We start from the raw sequence: 14810 nt of genomic DNA, 5'->3' as shown, positions 1-14810 counted from the left end.
CTCCCATTACAGAAGCGGGGCTGTGGAGGGAGGAAAGAAAACCTCTGGCAGTGTTCATGTGCGTCACAGCCTAGAGCACCCAAACCGGAGGGCGGAGGCAACGACGAGGGAGCGGGGCAAGTTGGCTTCTCTGATTGTAGGGACCTTACTTGGGAGAGGAGCCCATTTTTAAGGGATGATGCCTCTGAGGCATCTCCCAGACCTGCTGCAGTAGCCCTGTGGGCCATGCGCTGGGGCAACCAGTGCAGAGGAAACAGCAACCTCAGCCTAAGAAAGACTTGGGAGGGCTGCTGTGTATCGAGCACGGTGACGGACAGCCACATACCCAAGCCACAAAGGTAGAGGAGGGCCAGGGGCAGCGGCTCACTCCTGTCATCCCAGCACTTTTGGGAGGCCGAGGCAGGACTGTTTGAGGCCCAGAGTTCAACGCCAGTGTGGGCAACATAATGAGACCCTGTCTCTACACAGAATTTAAAAATTAGGGGTGGTAGCATGCACCTGTATTCCCAGCTACTCTGGAGGCCTGGGCGGGAGGATCTCTTGAGCCCAGGAGTTTGAGGTTGCAGTGAGCCATGATTGCACCACTGCACTCCAGCCTAGGCAACAGAAACAGGAACCCTGTCTCAAAAATAAAAAAATAAAAAAAAAAAAAAAAAAAAAAGGAAGCCTCCTGAAATGGAAAGCTCCCAGAGCAGACGCTCCATTCCCGCTTGCCGTGTGATAACAGTGCGGCGTCAGCAGAGTTATATCTGACCTTTCTGAGCTCGGTTTTTCTCATCTTTAAAATGGAGATAATGCTGCCAACTCCTCAAAACACTGAAGACTGGGGGCGTTACTAACCACCTACCACAGGGTCTGGAATGTGGTAACTATAAATGTTGATGGAGCATCTTCCAAACGCCAGGCATGCACATGGGTAGTGCGATTACAGCAGACAACCCGAAATAGACGAAAACCCTTGCCCTCATAGAGCCTACATCCTAAGGATATAGATGATGACGTGTGTCTTAAGGAGAAATGAAGCCGGCAAGGGGGAAAGAATGCTGGGAGGGTGTACAGTTTTAAATAGCTTGGTCAGTTTGAAATGGCTTGGACCCAATAGAAGGGTCCTTTCCCTTCCAGCTTGGGAAAGCCTCACCGAGAAGTGACGTTGGAGTCACAGATGAAAGCCATAAGCAGGGGCCCAGAAGCTGTCTGGGGGGACTTGGGGGAGGGGAGCTGGCAGAGTTAACAGCAAGTATGAAGGCGCAGGCTGGGAGCAGGCCAGGCGTGTTCTGAGAAATAGCTCCAGCAAGCAGAGTAAGTGGGGGGTGGGGTCGGAAGAGGAGAGATATTCCTGATTGTGAAAGAGCTGGCAGAGCTGGCGCATGTACCTGCAACAAGAAATAGATGCTCATCTGCCCGGACTGAGTGTCAAGGCCCGCACCTGGGAGGTACTGTCGGCATGGCCACAGGCAGCGGGAAGGGGAAGGAAAGATAGAGTATCTTCTTTATTCATAGCTTTTGTTTTTCTAATTACAAATACTTATGGTGGAAATATTGGAAGGTTTCACAAAAATACAAAGAAGAAAAGGAATTCTCTACAATACTGGCACCCAGAGGCAACCATGGTTAACAGTATAGTATGGCTTTCTATCTCTAGTAATCTTGTTTTCACTTGCCCAGGGTATAAATGACTTATCGCTACTTTAACAGTGAGTTACAATGACACTGAGCCCACCTTGTACAATACTTTCCGCAAATACTTCTGAGAGCTCTAGTGGATGTCTCACATGATGTCACAAACCCATGTGTCCACTGCAGTCATAACTAGGGCTCATGGAGGCCCAGGAAAGGACCCTCTGCTGGGAGTGTGCCTTGAGGGGTCCCCAGCATCCATGGCTGCCGCTTCCTCTAATGCCAGTGGAGTTCTGGAGAGATGCTGGGTTCCCTCCAAACTGGATACAATGTCCTTTCCCGCAGTCTGTGCCAAGATATGTCACCTAGATCCCAAAGCAACAGTGCCAGGGCCCTTCAGCCTCCTCAGGAAGGCTGTCTCTGTTTCTATCTCTTGCATCAACTCTCCCAAATTCAGCTGAAAATAGCCGCCTCCATCGGGACAAGTCTAGGCTCCCTCCGTCCATAATTTCTCTCCTCAAACCTCAGGGTAAAAAAGAAGGGAAGGCAGACCAGGTTCCCAAGGCAGGGCCATCTCCATCGCTGAACCAGAACAGTTAACATCTGTATTTAGGCTGACAGTAACTATAGAGTTTTAGGTTCGTGTTGATTTTCCCAAAACAAAGCAAAAGTCTGCCCCAGAGGTGAATTAAATTCTCTACCTCTAGCAAACTGCTAGCAGTTTTGCTCCCTTCCCCCAGCTTTTTTTTTTTTTTTTTTTTTTTTGAGACGGAGTTTCCAGGCTGGAGTGCAATGGCACAATCTCGGCTCATTGCAACCTCCACCTCCCAGGTTCAAGTGATTCTCATGCCTTAGCCTCCCAAGTAGCTGGGATTACAGCTGCACACCACCACGCCTGGCTAATTTTTATATTTCTAGAGACAGGGTTTCACCATGTTGGCCAGGCTGCTCTCGAAGTCCTGACTTCAAGAGATCCTCTCACCTTGGCCTCCCAAAGGGCTGGGATTACAGGCGTGAGCCACTGTGCCTGGCCCCTTCCTCCAACTTTTCTAGCCTTCTCCTCACCCTTTTTTAAAACCTTAGGGTGCAGCTTAGCCAGGGATGTCACCTAGTGTTAAAGATGGTGAAAATGTAGGGGAAAGGTTAGAACGGGGAAAAGGATTCCAGGCAAGGGAAACAACTCCGCCAACAGTGGAAGGGTAGCCGGAGTGTGCATTGTGCCCCAGGAACAACGAGGGGACTGATTATGCTGGAGCCAAAAGTCTGGAGGAGAGGAGAGGGTGCTGTGGATGGAGAGGAGCCCCTGGGGGAAGCGGTGGAGGGAGGGAGGGAGAGCAGTGAGCTCATGGAGATGCTTGAGGAAGATGGACTGGCTGGTTGTGAAGGGGGAGGTTGGAGGCATGGAAGCCAAGTGGGAGGCCTCTGCAATAGTCCAGATGACAGCTTGACCAGGGCAATGGCAGCAGGAATGGGTGTGGGAAAGGATTGGCTGGGGGAATAACTTGAAATGGTTTGATAATGGATTAACTGTGGGAAATGAAATGGAGGAAGATGTAAGATATGACTCAGTGTTTCCAGCTGAAGCACCTGGAAGCGTGGCGGAGTCACTTGTCAGAACAGCTGGATGCCTGGGGAGATCTGGTTTGGGGGCAGGAAGGTGGATATGGCTTCAGGCACACTGAGCCTCAGTTGCTGAGTTGGACAGTCAATGGACACTTAGAAATGGGGCGGAGGAGGGACAGTGAGGCTGGGAGTAGACACTCTGAGTCACCTTTTTAGAGAACATAACCAAAATCATGGGCTTTCTCCTTGGGAGACAGTCTAGAGCAGGGAGAGCGGGAACGGGACTCACCTCTCTTCTCACTCTGCAGGAGGAAGCAAGAATGGTGGGAGTCCTAAGCGGATCACTAAACAATGCAGTTCTGCTCCCACAGTTGCCTGTTGAGGGCTGGTCCTGGGTTTACCTTCTAGATCCACTTTTACAAGTGACCTGGGGGATTCTGGGAGGGTCTCAGCAGGGAGCAGCATGGCCAAGATGTCACAGAATTGGGAAAGAAAAGCTGCAAGTTGGTGTAGGTGGGTGTCAGCAAGGGGTGGCTGAGGATTCTTTGTGTGCACTACAAACAGAACTGCAAGCGAGAGTCACGCTGCAGCTGGAGAGACTCATGACAGACCTAAGCCAAGGCTTTAACGGGCCAACTCCTAGGATTCCAGACTGAATGACCTTTTCTCTCTATTAGTGGGCCTCCTTGCTCAGAATGGAACAGGCAATGAATGCCACCTTTAGTGAGACCTGAGATATCTCTACAGCACAAGGCACATCCTGGGGGGAGGAGATTATCACCTGGGGAGAACCCACACATTTAGACCTCTCAGACACATGGGACACCCCACCCAGACACAAACACATACTTGGTATATACATGCAGAAACAGCTCCACCAACTCCATAGGAAACATGAAGAAAAAACATCGTTTGGCAACTATCATGTATCAGGTATTTTGCTTAGAGCTTTCCAAGCATTTGCATATTTAGTCTCACAACAGTTGTGAGAGAAAGAGATTATTTTCCCATTTTATGGAAAACCAAGGCTCAGAAAATATTTTGCCCAAGATCACATGCCTGGAGAATGGCAGATGTTTCCTGACCCAGGTCTGCCTGGGCACGTATGTGTTATTCTCCATTCCTCGCCTGTGTGTGCACCGTGGACTCATACACACAGCACTTACCCATCCCCTCCGGACACGAAATTCCCATCGACCTCACATTCCTCGAGTGCACGGATCTTCATTCTGTTCACAGGTGTATCCCTAGCATCTAGAACAGTGTCTGGCACATAATCCACACTCAGTAAATATCTTGTTGCTGTGTGAATGCACACACACACACACACACACACACCCTTCACATACACTTACATACACATACAATCTAGCATCTGAAAGGAGACCCCTGCTGGGAGAACCAGGCCTTCCCGGCTGCCCCCACTGGCCTACTCCTGGAAGGGAGGCCTCACACCATCAGGCCACAGCTGGTCCCCCAGTCTCCTTCCTGGAACAGGCGACCAGCTCTCTCTCTAGCCTTAGGAGGGTCCACCTCCTTCTTTTTTTAGCTCAGTGAAAACGAAGAGTTTCTCTAAAACATCTTTGCTGAGAGAGAAAGTAGAAGAAAATGAATCAAGAGACTATAAGCACTTGAGTGGGTGAGTTTACAAGATTCTTATCTTAAGCGATCCTGGCTGGGCTGCTGGAGCGATGGGCTCACGGAGACCGGGCCCTGGCTTGGATGCTCTGGCCTCATTAACTCAGAAGTGAAGGGGGTGGGCACAGCTGCTCAATCTGGGAGATCCTCTCTTCCTCCAGATCCTGCTGCCGCTCCTGCTCTCAGGCCATAGACCCTTCTGCCATTGTGGCCTTGAGCTAATTGCAATTTTATACCCTCCTTGCCATCTGCTGTGCCTTAGGCTGTAAACCAGGCAGCTCCAACCCAAACCATTCAGTTGGACTGTGTCAGTCCCCTGCTGAAAACCCCAGCAGTCTTCGTTCCTTCCTAGAGACCCAAGGCTCTGCCTGGGGTGACTCCTGCCTGGAGCCGCCTCATTCCACTCCACTCCTTCACTGGGTCTCCAGCTCCATTTGCAAAGCAGTTCTGAGTGATTTACCAGAGCCTAGGAAATAATCCAATCCTTCTCACACCCCTGCAGCCCCTGCCACCAATACACAGACACACACACACACACACACACACACACACACACACCCCAAGCCTTCCCAAGGCTCTACTCATTCAGACACCTCAGATGACTCCAGATCAGACTCTGGACCAACATGTCAATATCGCCAAGGCCTCTGGATTAAAATGTAAATTCCTGAGCTCTCCCAAGATCTGCTGAAACAATCTCTGCGGTGAGGCCCAGAAGCCAGCACTTTTAGCAAGCTGGGGAGCAGTGCTCACACTCCAAAGTCCAAGAGCACCACCCCGAATCTAATAATTCCACACACATCCCAATGCATATATAATAATAACAGCTAAAACATTTATTGAGCACTTACTATGTGCCAGGAAGTATTTTCACGTATTAACTTGTTTACCCTCACAGTGGAGTTGGGGGGCATGCTGTTATCCCTGCTTCACAGCAACTTGCCCACGTTCACACAGCCAGTTGGTGGGAAAGTCAGGAATGGAACCCAAGTCCCGTGGCTTTTGAACCTCCATACAGCCACCACACTTTTTCTAGTACACATAAGGGTACACCCATGCGGACTCCAACACCTACCACACACAGGACCCCACCCCTCAGATCTGCTCACCAAAGGGAGCCCGAAGTCCAGGGTGTTGTAAAAGGCTCCTGGTTTCTCTTTCACCCCAAGTCTGGCCTACTCGTGTCTGAGCTGAGAGCCAGCAGCCACAGCCAATGGGGCCAGGGAGTTGGTGAGCTGCGGCTCCAGGACTTTGGCAGCAGCCACAGGCCCCCAGGCCCAGCACTGCCTGCCTCAGTGAGTGTGCCCACCACAGGCCCTGACTGCCAGGGGCCCTGCACCCTGCCCGCCGGCCCCCCCTGCCCAGCGTGTCCTGGCTTCCCGAGACCTGAGCCCCCTGACAGGGCCCTCCCGGAATGCTGCAGTCAGAGAGCAGATGTGCTTGCAGCGCTCTCCAAAAACGAGTCTTCTTAGGAATCCTGCCATGGGGGAAAGGCAGGGGTTGGGGGAGGGATTGGAAAAACAACCCAAATACCATAACACAGAAAAGCAATCCAAATAAAAAGCAGCAACTGTGTGTCTGGAAGGAATAAACTGAGGAGGAGAGGCGCGGAGTTGTGCAGCGTGGCCGTGAGGCTGCCAGCCCTGGCAGCCCGCAGATGGGGGCTGGGCAGCAGCTGCCAACAGGCCACGGGGCTGCTCTGGCCAGGGGCTGGGGCACTGGTGGAGCAGAGTCTGGGCTGACTCGGGGGCATAAGGCGTGACTCGCAACCCGAAGCTTCCTCCTTCCCGGGGCTCCGGGTGCTGCCTTCGGCAGTCCCCAGTGGGCCACAGAGAGGAAGTGTGGTCTCAAAGGGGGCTTTTGGAGCCCCAGCCACCCCATGACCTATCTGGAGGGTTCTTCTCACCCTTCTCCACCTAAAGGGTCTGCTTGAGACCATGGAAAGAGCCAGAATGATGCCCCTTCACACTGGCATTCTGAGCATAGGGCAGGCGGCAGGGGTCTCACAATAAGGCAGGGGAGCCCTGACTGTAGAGGAGAGAGTGGGAACAATTTATTCTGGGGCCACAGAATGCAGAATCACAATGCTGGGGTTCCCACCCAGCCCTCTCCTGACGAGCAGGGTGACCTTAGGCAAGTCACTTACTCTTTCTGAGCCCAAATCTCCTCGATGTCAAATGGGTACAATGAAGTTTTCTCTGCTCACCTCAGGGTAGAACAAGACTGATAATGATCGTGAGAAGCATTTGGAAGCAGGAGCTGCTGTCAGCTCCCGCTGTCCTTAGAAGCTGGGTATGAGGTGCAGAGCCGGGCGTGTATCGCACCGCGATGCCTGTGTTTCTCTGAAAGAGGTGTCACTCCCATTTCACAGATGAGAACCGTAAGGCTCAGGGACGTTAAGGAACTCTGAGAGCTGGCAGATGACAGAGTTGACTCTGGAGCCCATGTCCTCTCTCCTGAGCCACATTGCTGGAGGGGAAAGTATTCTGATATTGCAGTCCAGTGGGCAGGAATGGGCAGTGTCACCACTGGTGAGCCCAGGGAAGAGGCAATGCCTAGAGCCCGGGCAGAGGAGACTGGCTGGGAAGGCTGGCAGCTGGTGGCAGGAGCCCTGTTTGGGCTCGGGCCTGGGTGAGAGGCTCAGTGGAGTGAGCTGTGCCCAGACCTGGAGGAGCCGAAGTCCCCAGTCCCCTATGAAGGCCTGGAGGCTGGCACACCAGCCGGGGTAGCCAGGAAAAGGGCAGCACCCAGGTGACAGAGGGTGTCAAGGCGCTGTGAGGAATTGTGATACAGGTCAGGGCTGAGGAACCAAGCAGGGAGCACATGATCTGCGAAGCGAGGCAGCGCAGCACCAGAGTGTTAAGAGAGGCGGGAGGAGCTGCACCGTCGATGGGGCCAACATGAAGAGAGGCCTAGGCAAGTCCCCGGGTTGGCCCAGGAATAAAATCCACAGCTGCTGCGGGGCCCTCCTCTCACATCACCTTCCTTCACTGCTCCGGGAGGAGGAGGGGGCTTCTCCAGGCCTGGGCTCGAGCACAGAAAGCAAGTCAGTGGTATGTCACAGGATGTGGAGCTGAGGAACGGGGTTTTAAGATGTACTTATGAGCTCTGTGACCTTAGAGTACACACTTACCCTCTCTGTGCTCAAGAGAGCCAAAACCTGGGCCAGGTGCAGTGGCTCACACCTGTAATCCCAGCACTTTGGGAGGCCAAGGCAGGTGGATCACCTGAGGTCAGTAGTTTGAGACCAGCCTGGCCAACATGGTGAAACCCCGTCTCTACTAAAAATACAAAAAATTAGCCAGGCATTGTGGCGTGCACCTCTGATCCCAGCTACTCGGGAGGCTGAGGCGGGAGAATCGCTTGAACTTGGGAGGCAGAGGTTGCAGTGAGCCGAGATTGCGCCATCGCACTTCAGCCTGGGTGACAGAGTGAGACTCCGTCTCAAAATAAATAAACAAAGATAAATTTTTTTAAAAAGCCAAAACCTAGACAGGAGCAAAGCCGAAGGTGCTTTCCCTCCAAGCCCCTGCCTGTTACCTCCTCCACGAAGCCTGTTTCTCTGGCAAAGTGAGTGAGCGGCTCCCTTTCCAGCGCCCTGTAGTGCCCCGCATGTCTCCCACAGGCCTTCCAGGCAGTTGTGACCGCTTCATTCTGGCAGCAGGTAGCAGAAGCGCATGTCTGTTGCCCCATCAGGGCTGTGGGCATCTTAAAGGAACCCCAGCTGGTGCCTGACAGAGGGGCTGGTAAATGCTTGAGAAATGGAGGGACTAAATGAACAGAATTTTATTGGGGAGCTTCCTAAAGGTAGTGGTTGGATCTTTAAGGAGTTGATGTTTTTGGATCATACTTTTTCTTTAAAGAAATCAAAGCTCTTTCTCGTTCCCAATGCTTGGTCTTAGCCGTACCCGTTTCTAAATGTTAGAATTCTCTTAACAATGTTTATTTATTCATTCCACAAATGTTTCTTAAGCATATACTATGCGCCAGGCTAGAAAGCAAAATCTTAGAAGACATGGCCTCTGTCCTCAAAGATGTAACTATGAAGTGGCCAGAAATGGGTGCAGACAAGCACGTGGATAATTTTAAGCTATGACCCTCTGGAGGATTCTATAGGAACCCATGAAGGAGGCTCCACCAAATCCATCCAGGAGGGACCAAGGAAAGACAAGGCTGCCACGTGTGGCTGCACAGGTCGTGCACTGCACAAGCCAGGATACCTCTTGGAGTTGTGTGATGCGGCGGTCTAGTCCTTCCAGGCCAGGAGCAACTGAAGCGCTGTTGCTGCCCCCACCCCAATGCCCAACCCCATCCATCTATCTGGTCCCAGAGCATCTTTCCCCTCTGGCTCCTCTCCTCAATAAAAATTCCTTTGTCCGACCTTCCAGAGGTTTCTTTAGAAAAACTCTCCAGTAGTTCTTGCTGTCCCCTTTCTCCTGCCAGCTCTATAAAGCAAGCTGGCTCCTCTCAGAGATTTACGTTTTTGGGGAGTGTGAGTCACGGGGAAAGAACTCTTTCCACAGCTTTCTAACCTTTGATGTGACCTCCAATACCCTGTGGCTAATACAGAGTGATCTAAATCTCACAAAGCTCATACACACAAGAGCTGCACTGCATTGGGCCGTGAAAAAGGCCTCTGGCTAGCCAGCTCCTGCCACCAGCTGGAGGAATGTTCTCCATTCCCACCTACACCAACAGCCCTCCTCCAAGATCCTTCCACTCTCCTGGCAGCTCCTGCAGGGGCAGTGGCCCAGGGCCCCAGTGGCTGGGAGAGAAGGTTTGCTAAGCCCTCCCCCGACCCCATGTCCCACCAGTCCATAGCTGGACCCAGAACCTCAGCTCCTCCAATTCTGGCAAGAAAGGCCTCAGTTGTTGAGCAAGAGAGAGAAAGACTGGAGAAACAGACATCTAAAATACAGCCTCCTTGATGAGAAGAACAGCTGGGACCAGAAAGATGCTTGTGAATTATGGGTGACATGACTGTTGAGGTCATGCCTGATGTGGACACAGGCGGCTATGGGCCTGGCTCAAACTGAACTTTCTGGAGGTTTTCCTGCAAAGCAGAACGATGTAAGTGAAATCTACTTTTTCCATAAAAATGATGGCTTTTTGAAGACCAATCCATCAGCAACAAATTTAATGAGCTAGAAATGACATGCCTGCTCTCCACACACTATACCTCTTTCTCAAGCAGGATACAGAACAAGCAAGGCAAGGTGGTAACTAATGAGATAATATCAATGAAACGCCTCGCCCAGTGCCTGGCCTATAGTAGGCGATCAATAAATGCTCACTGTTACTATAATGTTTTATTTTACTATTTGAGCAATCCCTGAGAGAGGAACTGAGTAGTGCAGAGAGAGGGGCTATAAAGTTTCCAGGAACTAGTCTGAGGGCCTGCCTGCCCGCGCGCCCGGGGAGGGGCCCGGGAGACCTCCGGCTAGGGTTTCACATCAGGAAGTTGGCTGACTGCGCAGAACGACACTTGCGCGCTACTACTGCTCATGCTGAAAATAGCACCACCACACAACCGGCCACAAAGGCAGGGGGACAGGCAGTGGCAAAACCGAAGTCATGGCCGGCTTCAGGATACTCAGTCTGGGATGGATGCCCTTTCCTTCCTCCCTCCCCTCCTCCCCATTCCCCATAGCAATCTGGAAGTCAGAGGGACTCAAAGCATGTCTTTGTCACTGGGTTTGGGCCCCACAGGCTGTGGGGTCCTGGGCCACCACACCCTCCCAGGGCAGGGAAATGGAGCCTGGGCTGGCTGCCAGCAACCTTCTCCTGGTCTCCGCAAACCCGCCCCATCCATCCCTCCCGTTCTAGGAAGTAGGCCACATGGACATTTGACCCAGACTCAAGTCAGGAGAGGGAGTTCCTTTCCTGCCCCTCTGAACACTGCGGGGGTCTTGCACCCTGGAAAGCCTTTTCAGAGGTTTCTCTTCTCCCATGGCCGGGATGCATCAGAAGGGACACAACAGCAGGAACCTTGGTTCTCTTTCCCGAGGGTTGAGGCTGGGTTGTGGGAAGGACTAGGTCATATTCTGCTGGGCAGCCACCTAAGAGGCCCCAGATGTGGCACCAGCTAATCCTCCGTACTCTCAAAACACCACCTTTGACATTGAGGCATCTGCCTTCTCAGCCTGTTAATCTCTTACCCAATACCCGGGGAAGATTACCCACTACGAGTGCAGTGGCGCGATCTCAGCTCACTGCAGCCTCCGCTTCCTGGGTTCAAGCAATTCTCCTTCCTCAGCCTCCTGAGTAGCTGGGATTACAGGTGCCCACCACCAGGCCAGGCTAATTTTTTTTGTATTTTTCGTAGAGATGGGTTTTCGCCATCTTGGGCAGGCTGGTCTCGAACTCCCGACCTCAGGTGATCTGCCTGCCTCAGCCTCCCAAAGTGCTGAGATTACAGGGGTGAGCCACTGCACCCGGCCTCTTTTTTTTTTTTTTTTTTTTTTTTTTTGAGATGGAGTCTCACTCTGTTGCCCAGGCTGGAGTGCAGTGGTGCGATCTCAGCTCACTGCAGCCTCCACCTCCCGGGTTCAAGTGATTCTCCTGCCTCAGCCTCCCAAGTAGCTGGGATTACAGGTAGTCCCACCATGCCTGGCTGGTTTTGTATTTTCAATAGAGACAGGGTTTCACCATGTTGGGCAGGCTGGTCTCTAACTCCTGACCTCAGGTGATCTGCCTGCCTCAGCCTCCCAAAGTGCTGGGATTACAGGCGTGAGCCACTGAGCCCAGCCTCCCCTACCACCAGTCTTGTTTCCCCACCTCCCTTTTAGTGAATTGCTCCCTTTCTCTACTGAACGGAGAACCAAAAGGACTTCCTTTGGGCATGTGCAGGGGCTCCAGACACAGGGAGAAGCCCCAGGAGGCTTCCTAGAGTTCATGTTTACTACACTTATGTTTAAATTCCAGGATTTGTGGTCAGGAGACATTGTTTTATCACTTACCTCTCATCATCATCGTCATTTACCCTTTAGAACCTCTGTGGCCTCATTTGTGAAATGGAGATAATAACGTCACCCACAAGGTTGTTGTAGAGAGGAGTAGATGAGGTACGAGAAAGTACTTTCCAAACTGAGGGGCCACATAATACTTATGATTATTATATTGCTGTGAGTTTATAAAAGCAGCCACTGTCCCTCAGAAATACCTCCAACGCTTGTGTATGTTGTTCAGGGAAACACTCCCAGAGCCTTCTAGACTGGAGACTGGAGTCTGTCCCCTAACTCTGAGATCCTATGGTGGGGCGTGGCCGGGGCTGGAAGGTGGGGAGGGGGCAAGGTCAGCCCCCTCACTGTCCTCATTCAACCTCCAGCAAGGACAGTGATTATAACCCCCTAAGAAACAGCGACATTCTCTCCCCAGGAAGAATGCACTTCTGAGGGATTACCTCACCCCTTCAGAGCCAAAGAGACACAAAGAAATGGCTAAATAGCCAGCCTGAAGTCACATGGCTTTCCCAGCCCCAGCCCCCCACACTCAGCCGTGAGAGCAGAGCATTAAAAGAGGCCAATCCCTAAAGTCAAGTCCAGGGTCCTCCCCCAGCCCCAAGAGCCTGGCTTAGGAGGGGCCAGGAAGACAGAGGCACCAATAACAGCTATTGTGTGTCGAGGCTGTTCAAGGTGCTTTATGTCCATTTTCTCTCCCTTGACCCAAATCACAGCCCTGTGAGACAGGAGTCATTATGTCATTTTCCAGATGAGGCTCTGACTGCATTTAATTTTCCTGAGGTTGTTCATTTAGTAAGTGGCAAAACTGGATGAGATTTGAACCAGGGTCTGATTGGGTCCAAAGCTCATGACCACTCCACCCACTGCCTGCTTTATCTGGGGACCAACCTAAAATGCCAGGGTGGGCAAGGCTATCTTCTGGGTGGGGCCTCCCACCACGCCGGGAAGAGGAGAGAGCCTCAGAGAAAAGGGAAAGTTGTTGACTCTCAGTGACCACAGTTCTGGACACCTATCAGCCCTGCAGGCACCAAAGACCATAGGGCTGCCTTTGCACCCGGCTGGGAAAAGGGTCAAGGTTGGCTTGCTCCAGAGCTGGGCTCTGAACCCAGGGGAGGCACTAGGAGCCCCATTAGGGGAAAGTACACCTGCTGCAGTGGTCTCCCACTTCCCCTCCTGCTCCCTGCAGAATGACAGGGACCTGTCCATGGGACCGAAAGGACCCTGTTCCTGGAGCACAGTTGGAGTGAGGATACAGCCCTTCTGTCTTCCACTGCCAGACTGGGTGTGGGAAAATCTGACCGAGTCACCACCCCAGAGCAGGGCCTGGTGGCCTTTCCAGCGGGCTCACAGAGCCTCCCACCTCTGTTCCTGTCCTCTTCTAGGAAGGTGTGGAGGAGACAGAAGATGAAGGAGTGCGGGTCAGATTCGATGGTTTTTGTTGGGATGGATTACCCCCAAAGGAATTTTTCTTTCCCTTTATTTAAGTCCTATAGACACATTACAGAAAATTTGGCAAATAAAAGAAATAGAATTACGTGTGATTTCACCATCATATCACAACTGCTGGGAACATTCTCATGTATTCCTCCCCCGCTCTCCTACCTCTTTATTTTCCTTTTTTTAGTGTTTAGTAATGGTGATTATGCTACTTTTAGAATGTGGATCGGATGCTGCCCCCACTTCGCGGCCATCATCCTTGTCTTTCCGTGCCACTGTGCGGTTTGCCCGTCCTCCTTCTGAATGGCTGCAGGTGAGTCCATCATGTGGGTGGAGGCACCTCTGACTTAAGAACATTTGTATTTGAAGTCTTACAAAAGTAGAAAAACTGAATCCCGTTTAGTCAAGCCTTTAACACACCACCTATTTTGAAAACAAAGCAATTACATGGACTCAGAGCTGGTCCAAAAAATCCAGGCAGCCCTTGGTGGTGGCAGATTGGGGAGGGGACCTGCAGGTGGTGGAGGCACTAGTAGGGTAGGGTTAGGGCACCTGCCACCCACCCAGGAGCCACCAGAGTCAGGTCTCTTGCCTTCTTGACCATGAAGGACCTGTGCTCTCAATAGTGTTCCTGGGTCAGAGAGTTGCTAAGAGAGACTGAGTGTGGGAGAATGATACATTAGAATCCAAGGAGCCTCTCTCATTCGCCCACTGTCCTTTTCAGAGCTGTCCTGTCCTTGTTAGAGGCCTGCCTGCGGAGGGCAGCCCTGAAACTCCCCTGGCTCTGAAACTGCTCGGCGCACAGCAGAGCGCAGCACAGACCCGAATCCTTATGGGCCCCGAGGCTAGCTCTCCAGCCTCTCAGCCTGCTTTTGGATACTCTCAAACAGGTACTCTGGGATGGAGGTGGCGGCACACCTGTAATCCCAGCACTTTGGGAGGCCAGGGCGGGTGGATCACCTGAGGTCAGGAGTTCGAGACCAGCCTGAGCAACATGGAGAAACCCCCGTCTCTCCTAAAAATACAAAATTAGCTGGGCATGGTGGTGCATGCCTGTAATCCCAGCTACTCAGGAGGCTGAAGCAGGAGAATGGCTCAAACCCAGGAGGCGGAGGTTGTGGTGAGCTGAGATCGTGCCATTGCACTCCAGCCTAGGCAACAAGAGCGAAACTCTGTCTCAAAAAAAAAAAAACAAAACAAAAATTAGTTGGGTGTGATGGTGCCCACCTGTAATCTCAGCTACTCGGGAGGCTGAGGCAGGAGAATAGCTTGAAGCCAGGAGGTGGAGGTTGCAGTGAGCCGAGATCATGCTACTGCACTCCAGCCTGTATGCTGTACGCCCAACCTGGGCAACAGAGCGAAACTCCATCTCAAAACAAACAAACAAACAAACAAAAAACAACTCAGGTACTCTGAGGTTTAGTCAGTATTTATCAAGGGGCTGCTGAATGCCTCATTTGAGAACTGTTGCAAACAGGAAGAAAGCACCCTACCCCTGGACGTGTAGATTCTTGTGACTGAATCACTGAAAGCAAAGGCAGCATAGTCTAGGGAGCAATGGCTGGAGTCAGGCTTGCCGGGGGGTTGAGTGCT

The 14810-nt window shown here is 52.0% G+C and overlaps 2 annotated features.

The window, feature by feature from the left end:
• Window positions 7169–7669: an enhancer, noted in NCBI's record as "H3K4me1 hESC enhancer chr3:184408245-184408745 (GRCh37/hg19 assembly coordinates)". NCBI's record gives its function as "activates a minimal SCP1, AML or CMV promoter by ChIP-STARR-seq in primed H9 embryonic stem cells {active_cell/tissue: H9 hESC(primed)}" and the evidence as "EXISTENCE:reporter gene assay evidence [ECO:0000049][PMID:30033119]".
• Window positions 7670–8170: an enhancer, noted in NCBI's record as "H3K4me1 hESC enhancer chr3:184407744-184408244 (GRCh37/hg19 assembly coordinates)". NCBI's record gives its function as "activates a minimal SCP1, AML or CMV promoter by ChIP-STARR-seq in primed H9 embryonic stem cells {active_cell/tissue: H9 hESC(primed)}" and the evidence as "EXISTENCE:reporter gene assay evidence [ECO:0000049][PMID:30033119]".

Source organism: Homo sapiens, chromosome 3 (genome assembly GCF_000001405.40).
Source record: "Homo sapiens chromosome 3, GRCh38.p14 Primary Assembly".
Classification (NCBI taxonomy): Eukaryota; Metazoa; Chordata; class Mammalia; order Primates; family Hominidae; genus Homo; species Homo sapiens.
Note: the sequence above shows the minus strand (reverse complement) of the source record. Positions and strands in the feature narration are given on the sequence as shown.